The sequence below is a fragment of the Homo sapiens genome, chromosome 4 (assembly GCF_000001405.40).
Source record: "Homo sapiens chromosome 4, GRCh38.p14 Primary Assembly".
Taxonomy (NCBI): domain Eukaryota; kingdom Metazoa; phylum Chordata; class Mammalia; order Primates; family Hominidae; genus Homo; species Homo sapiens.
Genome location: NC_000004.12, coordinates 27054523 through 27065187, shown reverse-complemented (window position 1 = coordinate 27065187; position 10665 = coordinate 27054523). Strand labels below are relative to the sequence as shown.

The following is a 10665-nucleotide window of genomic DNA, read 5'->3' as shown; positions in this document are numbered from 1 at the left end:
TGTGTTTTTAGTTGAGACAGGGTTTCACCATGTTGGCCAGGCTGGTCTTGAACTCCTGACCTCAGGGGATCCACCCGCCTCGGCCTCCCAAAGTGCTGGCATTACAGGTGTGAGCCACTGCGCCTGGCCTGAACTTGGGTTTTATAAGTGAAGTCCAAAGAGACAGTAGAGCATGCACAAGAGCCCAGGAAACACATGAAATATGCGTATCTGCCTCTGTTCCTTGGTAGTACGTTTGCATACAATGTTCATGGTTCCCAATGAGCACAGAATTCCAGTGCATCCAAGGTGTGTGGGACTTCAGCAAAACTCAGGTCTATGACTGAATACGGGAGACACTGACAGCCCTGAGAAGTCATGCTTTCTGTTCAAACCACAACTTGCTTCAAGAGCAGAAGGAAAGCAATAGCGTTTTATGGCATCCAAACAACCAAAGAGCTTGCTGTGGGTTCAATTGTGTCCCTTGCTCCCCCAAAAATCATATGTTAAAGCCCTAACCTTGAGCACCTCTCAATGAAACCGTATTTGGAAATAGGGTTTTTGCAGATGGTAATTAGGATCAATTAAATCAGGATGAGGTCATACCGGGATAGGAGGCCCTACTGCAATATGGCTGATGGCCTTAGAAAAAGGGGCAGTGTGGGCACAGCACACAGACGGGGAGAATGCTATGTGAAGATTAGAGTTATGCTGCCACAAACCAACCAACTGCCAGGAGCTAGGAGGGAGACCTGGAAGATCATTCCCTATCCCTTTCAGAGGGAGCAAAATCTTGCAATCACCTTGATCTCCGATTTCCAGCTTCCAGAATTGTTAGACAGTAAATTTCGGTTGTATAAGCCACACAGTTGATACTTTGTTATGGCAGCCCCAGCAAACAGATACAGAACATACTATTTTTTCTTCCTCACATTACCTCCCTGTTAGTCAACCACTAATGCAGAAAATGATGACACAGAAGGAAAGGGAAAGACATGCGACCTATAAATCCTTTTCCTTTCTGTCTGTCCTTCCTTATGCATCAGTAAGCAAAATGTGGAGACTGTTGGTAGAATGTGTGCATATCAAACAGTGAAATAGCCAGGCACAGTGGCTCACACCTGTAATCCTAGTACTATGGGAGGCCGAGGTGGGTAGATCACTTGAGCCCAGGATTTCAAGACCAACCTGGGCAACACAGCGAGACCCCGCCTCTACAAAAAATCAAAAAACTAGGCAGGCATGGTGGCATGTGCCTGTGGTCACAGCTATTCAGGAGGCTGAGGCAGGAGGATCACTTGAGCCCAGAGGGTCAAGGCTGCAGTGAGCCATGATCCCACTGCTGCTCTCCAGCCTGGGCAACCAAGCAAAACCTTATCTCAAAAAAAAGTAAAAAAATAAAAAAAGTAAAATAAAAACAATTGAGTTAGTTTTGTGCAGCATTTCTACTGTACTGTTGAGAACAAAATATATATGCATTTACAAACTATGAACGAGTTATATAATTTTGATGATTCTACATTCAAGTTAAATGCTATTATGTTTGCATTTCAAAGTGGCATTGTACAATATAAAGATGAACAGTGAAATTCATGTAAATAATGCAAATTTTAATTTTTCTTTCCTTAGAACAACATTAAAGAGCAAATATGAAACACCGTGGCAAGTTCAAAAAGAGATCAGGGAAAACAGGAAACAGCTTTTTCTATTTCACTACTTTTAACAGCATGTTTGCCCCTGCTTTTAAAAAGGGGGACCTGCATTCCATTTGCATTGGGCCTTCAAATTATGTAGTCAAGAGCTATAGGAGGGCCGGGTGCAGTGGCTCATGTCTGTAATCCCAGCACTTTGGGAGGCCGAGGTAGGCAGATCACCTGAGGTCAGGAGTTTGAGACCAGCCTGGCCACCATGGCAAAACTCTATCTCTACTATTAAAAATACAAAAGTTAGCCAGGCATACTGGCAGGCACCTGTAATCCCAGCTACTCAGGAGGCTGAGGCAGGAGAATCGCTTAAACCTGGAAGGCAGAGGTTGCAGTGAGCCAAGATCACACCACTGCACTCCAGCCTGGGCAACAGAGTGAGACTCCATCTCAAAAAAAAAAAAAAAAAAAAAACAACTCTAGGAAATGCTGTTTCTACTCAGGTGCTCTAAACTTTGCTCTTCTCCAACTCCTAAGTCTGGATCTTTCTGATTTTACCTCTTAATAACTTTACATTCATATAGAAAACAAATGTTGTATAATCACAATGCTCAGGTATGCAAAAATTCACATTTTTTATTTCTCCATGACTGATACTTAGTTCTTGAGACTCCGCTTACCATTTAATGATAGAGGAAAAAAATTTTGAAAACTCAAAGAAACTCAGTGATGTGGAGATTTGAGTTCGGTTAATTCAGGATACTCTCTCTTTCGCTATTTACATGAATTTCACTATTCGTCTTTGTATTGTAAAATGCCACTTTTAAATGCAAATATAAGAGCATTTAACTTGGATGCAGAATTACCAAAGTTATATAAATTGTTCCCAAGGGAGAGATTAAAATCTAAGATGAAATCCTTGACCTCCCACGTTTATCCATGCTGATTTATGTCGAAATCTACAATTCCAGTTAGCCTTTGGTCATCAGTCCTCCTGCCACTGCAGATGTGGCGAAATGCTCACATCCTGGTCTGCGCTCCAGTCCACCCAGGTTCTCTGCATCCTTTGCTCGCTCACTGAGAGGTCAGGTCCAGCAGTTTGTCTCAGCTTCTTCCCGCTTCTCTTGGGTCTGTTAGAGATTCAGGGGTTTGACTTAAGTCTTCCTACCTTGGACCAGGGGTTGGCAAACTATTGCCCAGGAGCCAAATCTGGCCCATTCCCTGTGTTTATAAATAAAGTTTTACTAGAACACAGTCATGCCCATTCATTTACATTTTGTCCATGGCTGCCCGCACTCTACAACTAGAGTTGCAACCGAGACTATATGGCCCACAGCCTAAAATACATATCATCTGGCTCTTTATAGAAGAAGTTTGCCAGCCCGTGACTTAGATACACTGGCTGTTATCTTACCTACTGTCATTTCAATGAAGTAGCTACTATTTTCTTTAGGAAGCTTTCTGCTTCCTTGAGAAGCAAGACTTAAGTCTTTTTTACTTTGCAGAATCCTACAGACTTGCCAGGATTTTCCATCGACTCCAGGGACATTTGCCTATGTCCCAAGATGAAGAACCATCATTGCCTTAACCCGAGTGACATTCTCTCTGCCTGTCGTCTATCACCAACAAGTCTTCAGGTCTTTCTCACCACTTTGGACAAGAAAACTGGCTTTACATCATTGTGCATTGGGCACTTGTATTAGTTATCTATCGACATATAATACATTTACCCCAAAACATAGCAGCTCAGAAAAACAAACACTTAGGATCTCATGCTTTCTCTGGGTGAGGAATTTTGCATGACTTCGCCGGAGGCCTCTGGGGCTCATTGTCTCTCATGAGAGTGTGTCAATCTGTTTTTGACTCTGCCACCATCATCTCAAGGCTCCACTGGGTGAGCATCTGCTTTCAGGACTACCAGCAAGTCTCAAAAGGTCTGCTTCCAAACTCACTCACATCTTCTCTCCACAGGGCTGCCTCGTGACACAGAAGCTGGCTTCCCCCAGAGAGAGAAACAGCTCCCAAGACAAAAGCCACAGTCTTTTAATACTCTGCTTTTGATGTGATGTCCTGTCCCTTCTGCCATGTTCTCTTTGTTACAAGAAAGTCGGAAGTCCAGTCCACACTCAAAGGAAGGGGAATCGAGCTCCACTTCTAAAAGGGAGGAGTATCAAAGAATGTGTGGACATGGTCTTAAAACCACCACATCCCAGCACTCTTAGGCTCATGACAAACTCTGGCCTCAAAACACCTTTTCCAAAAAACCCTAGGCTATCAAGACAATTGTGTCTACCATGATCTCTAAAACTCCATTCAGAAACCTGTTTGAAAACCATTTGGGAGCATCTTTTTTTTTTCTTTTTTTTTTTGAGTCAAAGTCTGTCTCTATCACCCTGGCTGGAGTCCTGTGGCGTGATGTCAGATTGCTGCAGCCTCTACCTCCCAGGCTCAAACCATCCTCTCACCTCAGCCTCCCAAGTAGCTGGGACTACAGGCGAGCATTACCATGCTGGCTAATTTTTTTTTTTTTTTTTTATAGAGACGGGGCTTCACCATGTTGCCCAGGTTGGTCTCGAACTCAGGAGCTCAAGCAATTGGCCAGCCTCAGCCTCCCAAAATGTTGAGATTACAGGCAGGAACCACTGCGCATAGCCCATTCTGGTGACATCTTAATGCTCCCTTCATCTCACTCTTCCCATAGAAACAATGAATAGTTTGGGGGCCAAAAAAAAAAAAAAAAAAGCCAGCAAGAAAAACCTTGGTTATTATCTTCTAATTTTATCCTATGGTATTTACTTGAAAAAGCGTTTTGGATGTCTAAAATCTATCTGCTCAGACAAATAAATCAAGCTGATAAGATGAAATAAATGAATACAGGTAGCCATAGCAATGCACAATAAATCCTCCGCAGTTCTAAGCACATGATTATTTGAGTAAACATTTAGATCCACATAAAAATATTAGCAAGCCAGTCTTTCAGAATCAGATCACTGGAAAGAATTAACTGAAGAAAATCAAAGCCACTGCTCAAATAGAGTCCATTCTTTACAAATATATATATTTTCTTCTCTCTTCCAGGGTCCTTGCTCAACCCCACAACAACGACCCTGGAATTGTAGAAGTTTCATAATGTCCAATTTTAAGATCTCAGCCATGATTAAGACTAGAGTAATCAAGAAGATTAAAAATATTTCTTCACTTTCCTCCTTCTAAGAATAAGTAAGCATAAAAGTAATAGCCGCTAATTCTTATGTGCATGTTACCAGTTACTTTGTTAGGCACTTTACATACATTATCTCAAGTAATTCTCATCTTCACAACACCCATGCCAGAGAAATATTGCTATCTTGTTGGGTTTTTTTTTTCAGATGAGAAAACAGGCTCAGATAAATTAATTTATTTTCCCCAGGTCACATGCTATAAAATAATGAAGCCAGATTTCTAACCCATGTCCATCTGAGTCCTGAGTCTATTCTCTTAACAGTATTACCACACAAGGAATAAACCTGATACACACATCTTCCCGGAACATCAGTAATGTATGAAGATGAAGGCAGAAATACTGTTTCCATATTAAAATAAATATGACTATATTATGTATAGGAAAAATTAATATGCATTAAGATCAAATCAATGTCATGCTTTCAGCCTGTGGATTCGGACCACACATCAACATCTCTGAAAAGATTGGTTTCTCTGGGTTGCAGTCGAGGTTTCCTGCCAGAAAAGAAAGTTCAAGAAGCCCAGCACCCCACACCTCTCCCAAGTGAGTAAATAGCAAACTGAGAAGAATATCAAGATACTACATAAAATTTTTTGATTTTTCATTTTAAATACTGTCTTGATTCCTCATGGGACTTTCCCAACGCGGAAACAGCGATGACTGTACAAGGGAAAACAGATGATTATTTTGCTCGTTCCTGTCCCACCCTGCCCTCCTTGCCTTTGAGTTCTCATGCAATCCTATTGGGATCTTTGCAGGTGAATGAAACATTTTGATTTGCTTGTTGATTTCAAAGACAGCTCCCTGGGAAATACCACAGCGATTGTGTTCAAATTCACCTGAGTAAAATGTTTTTGCTTATTAGAAAACAATCTTTGCAACAGGAGCAAGCCATACATGAGATGCAGAGATCAGAAATGAGAGTCTTTCAGAAGGTTACTGATATTTCCTGAGATGTGCTAATGTGTCATATTTGACAGGAAGGTGAAGAGAGCAAAGTGGGGCCACCTGAAAGAGCACAACTCAATCACTTAGACCCCATTCACTGAAAATTCAGACGTGCCTGAGCTAATAGACAACTGCCTGCTATTTAGAGAGTGAGGATGTGTTACAAACACTGCAGACATGGACCTCATCTATTCCTCATGACAACCACTGTGGGGAAAGAATTGCCATCCCCATTTCACACGTGAGGAAAATCATATGTAAAAATGATGCAAGAGATCTGGGAATTTCCATAGGTCACTGAGCTAAAAAGTAGCAAGGCTGAGCCCCCAACTGGTTCTGCAGGGCCATCAATCACAGAGGCCCGCTAGACCCCAGAAGGTCCTGTATTATAACAGTCATGGCATTCTAATTTCTGATGTAATTGGAAGTCTTTTCTACCAGAGGCTTTCACACCCTTTGGAAGGCCTGGGGAAGCAGAGGCCAGCGAAGCAACTGCTTGAGTTCCTGAACCCATGAAGTGCCAGAGCCGTGGAGAAGCAGTAGGCAGTCCCTGGTGTCACCACCAGGGAGGTGTATTTTCACAGCAACATCCAATTAGAAGATAAATGCAGATTTGCTTTTCTAAACAGAATGCACTTAAACCAACACTCAGCTCTCCTTCCCTGAACAAATTCTCAGGGAAAGCTACTGGCTACAGATGAGCCTTTGCGATCACTTTCAGGTATTGTTCGGTGAGTGATTCCTGCAGGCTCACCCAGAAGCTGCTGCAAACCCCATGATGATCCCACACTTCTGCTGACAGTAACCCTGAAGGATGATATAGCTTCACCTGTTCTTCCACTTTCCAGACCTCATTCCAGTGCCTCTGATTGGCTGAATATAACCCAAAACCAAGCTGGAAACCATCATTCTCAGCAAACTATCGCAAGGACAAAAAAACAAACACCACATGTTCTCACTCATAGGTGGGAATTGAACAATGAGAACACATGGACACAGGAAGGGGAACATCACACACCGGGGCCTGTTGTGGGGTGGGGGGAGGGGGGAGGGATAGCATTAAATGACGAGTTAATGGGTGCAGCACACCAACATGGCACATGTATACATATGTAACAAACCTGCACATTGTGCACATGTACCCTAAAATTTAAAGTATAATAAAAAAAAGAACTGGGGGGCATTTAAGTAGTCCCTGATTCTTCCTTGCAATGCAGAAGAGAGTGGACAAAGACGCAGTAATGGTATTGAGCTGACCACAGCCAATGGTATTAGTAAATAATATATGCATCACCAATTTATTATCCCAATGTATAGATCTGGGACTATTAAAGGGAATTTTTAAAATGGCCGCCACCATTGTATCATTAATCTATGGCTGCGTAAGAAACCACTCAAAAATTAGTGCCTAAAGCAACAACTGTTTACTTGGCTCACAGTTCTCAAGGTCAGCAATTTGGGCTGTGCTCAGCTGGTCCTTCTTGTGTGTCTGTGGTCGGCTTCCAATAAGTCAGGTGGCTCCATTTCTCAGGGTGCACGTCTGGTGGCCGGGACAGTGGGGATACTGGGCCACATTTCTCTCATCTTCCAGAAGATTACCCAGGCTTGCTCCCATAGAAGCTGGCAGAGTTCCAAGGGTGTAAACAAAAGCTGCCAAATCTTTTGAGGGCCGGGCTCAGAATTGCTATCATGTCATTTTTGCCATATTCTACTGCACAAAGTGAGTCACAGGGCCCACTCCACTTCAGAGGACAGAGAAACAGACTCTGCTCCTGAAGAGAGAAGCCACAAACCCACATTCCAATGGGGCGGCATTCACAGAGTGGAATCATGGCGACTTTCGCAAACATTTTGGGAAAGAGTAAGGCAAATAAAGTTCAACATGTTTTTCAAGCCCCTTGCAGGACTTTAATACAAGGAAGTAGATGATCAGTCTCCAAGAAGAAGGCGTAATGTGTAGGGTCCCCACAACTTAGGTAGCCACAAAGCCCTTTTGGTTTGGGGCATCTTGTGGGCCAGTTGCTCTGGGAATCATCTCTGTGAAATACCACTCAGCCCCATTGTGAATTTCCAGTCTGAATCAAGGAAGAGGTCTATTTTAATCACTGAGAGGATGGAATGTCATCAGCGGGGTAGACGTTGTGTGGGGGAGAATGCCTTGTTTTATAGCGGGGCGGAGCGGGAAATAAAGTGCCCTATAGTACCTTAACCTTTGGTTTCCAGCCTGGAAAGACCACAGCATGTGTTCAACAGCCTCCCTAAAGTCATTATTGCTTCCGAGCTAGCTGAATTGCTCGATAATAACAATTCTTTGCACTTATGGAATGCGTTTCCTCCGAGGAGAGCCAAGTAATTTAGAATCACTTATTAATTAATCCTCAGCCCCCACATGAGATGAGGATGGGTTATTACGCATCTTTAACGGATGTGTGAAGTGGGTAAATGAAAACAAAATGACATTAACCGTCTGCCCAAGGTCACTGTGTTGTCAAACTCACTGGACACCCTCCCAGCTCCGTAGACCTCACTCGTCATTTTGGGTGCCTCTCTCACAGTGGCAGCGGAATTCCTCGGAGCTGGGTTCCGGCCATTTCAGGAAAGTCTGTGTTTACTGAATCAACCATGAGGATTTTGCTGTTTCATTTCATGGGGGGGCCGGGGGTGGGGTGGGGGCTTCATTTTTACTATTCCGCTTTTGGGTTTAGTGTTGATTTGAAAATTTAGTGTTCGGGTGTCCAAGAAGAGCTGGTTCTAATTGCACTTATCTTGCATTTTGTTCACAGAGACGTCACTTACTCGGGGAGAATATGCACTCACCAAGCTGAAACAGGGTGCCGCTGCCCACCGCACGCGAAAGCAGGACTCAGAAAGGAGGAGGGAAGCATGTGTTGTCCCCACCAGGGCCGCGTATTTTCACAGCAAAATCCAGTTAGGAGATACATGCAGACTGTCTTTTCTGAACAGAATGCACTTACCCCAGCACGCAGCTCTCCCGGGGTCCACTTCCCTTAGCAGCTGAACAAATTCTCAGGGAAAGCCCCTGACCACGGAGGAGCCTGCGCGATCACTTTCAGTCACCGTTTCCAATCTGTTTCCGAAAGGAGTTCTTCCCTAAATGTGTGTTTTTCCACACATACAAACCAAACCAATCTTAGTGGGTTTATTTTTGTAAAGGGAAGGGAGAACCTGTCACGTCGAAATAGCTACAAAGCCCATCGAAAACTTAGACACTGTGGGGTCTAGTTAAAACCTGTGTTTTAACTAATATCCCCATGGTCAGGTAATGAGAGCCAGGGCCAGCCTTCTGAGTTGCACAAAACCAGCTGCAGCTACCCCTGGTGAATGAGAATAGGCACTTCAGAGGACACAAAAATCCAGGAGCTGGTAAGGAGCTCTTCTTGCACATGGTCACTTTCAGGGTCAACTCGAGGGAAGAAAATTCTGCAACGTTTAGAACTTGGAGAAACACTCTTGATTCGATGCGGTTCGGGTTGTGCAGACTGACGGAACTTCATCTGTCCTTCATTCATTCCCTCTTTCATCAAATGTTTATTGAGCACATACTTTGCTGAAGGCCTGGTTCTGGGGCTCTTGGAGGATGGATCCAAAGCCTGCGGCCTGGAATGAAACATTCAATGAATTCCTTTTCTCTCTCTCTCTTCAGGTCTGTGTGCCAGGCCCAGTGTCAGGCTCTGCCTGGGTACCTTATGATTCCCACTCCCAGAAGCTTAGGGTGCAAATCAGAACTGTCTAGGAAGCAATCTAATTAAGGCTTCCTGGTAGACCCAAATGCCCCAGGTCTCAAAGGAAGAAGACAATGATGGTGGAACAGGAGTTAGAAGAGTAGAGTCCACCATGGGTCCAGATCATGGCGTGTTGTAAAAGGGGATCTCAGGCAGACAGGGGCACTAGAGGGCCAGGGGACAAGTGTATCATTGTGCCTGAGGACTGGCCTGCAGCTGGCAGCTGTTGGCTCACATGGTGAGATTCCCACGGGACTACACCAGCATCTTTTCTTACTTTCCCTCACTGTGAGCCACAACACTGCTTTTTTTGTTCCTGGGTCCTGAGATTAATCTTGCATGTCTGTGTGTGAGAGGTGGAAGTATGTCCTTACACGTGTTTTAACTAATGGCTCATTACTGGCTCAAATTTATCATCTTCAGCCCATCCTTGTCCCTCCCATCTGCCTTCACCTGCTAAATCCTCTCGATCATATTCCAAAGCTATATTTTACTGGTTTGAATCTCGTCTCTGCGACCACACAGCCCTCGGTAAAAGACTTAACTTCTGAGTTTCACCGCTTGCATCTGATAACATTGTGAACAAGAAATGAAACAACCTACATAAAGCACTTGGAACAGAGTTGGTAGCCAGTAAATGTTAATTCTGTTTTATCCCCCTTGCAACTTCTTCCTCTGTGTTCCCACCGCAGGTTGCTTATCCAGCTATATTTGACTAAGGTTAGAGGCTGCTTTGTATAAAAGTTAGTGACAACTGGTCCTTTACATTGATGATGAATAATTTAAAGGGAAGAAGAATCTATATTGACTATAAGGTAACAGAGATAGAAATAAAAGCACAGCCTTGGAGTGGGGGCAGGGCGGGAATCATAGCTGATTTGCATATGCACATTCACCAGGGAGTTAGAACCAGTCATTTGTTTATAACCCAATCCTATAATTTCAAATATTTACAAAGCATTCATCAAATCATACACAACCCTATTTTAGAAGAAAATCTTCCAGACATTGGCCACATAAGAAACTTACTCTATGTTCCAAGGGACAAAAGTAATTGATGGATGATGATAAAACAAATTGCTACCAAAAGGGGACATAAATGTGGAACCAAAGAACCCATGAGAGGATG

At 43.5% G+C, this 10665-nt stretch overlaps 1 annotated feature.

Moving 5' to 3' along the window:
* Window positions 5107-6306: an enhancer, noted in NCBI's record as "P300/CBP strongly-dependent group 1 enhancer chr4:27060504-27061703 (GRCh37/hg19 assembly coordinates)". NCBI's record gives its function as "activates an origin of replication core promoter dependent on BRD2, BRD4, P300/CBP, MED14 and CDK7 cofactors, with strong dependence on P300/CBP, by STARR-seq in HCT116 cells {active_cell/tissue: HCT116}" and the evidence as "EXISTENCE:reporter gene assay evidence [ECO:0000049][PMID:35650434]".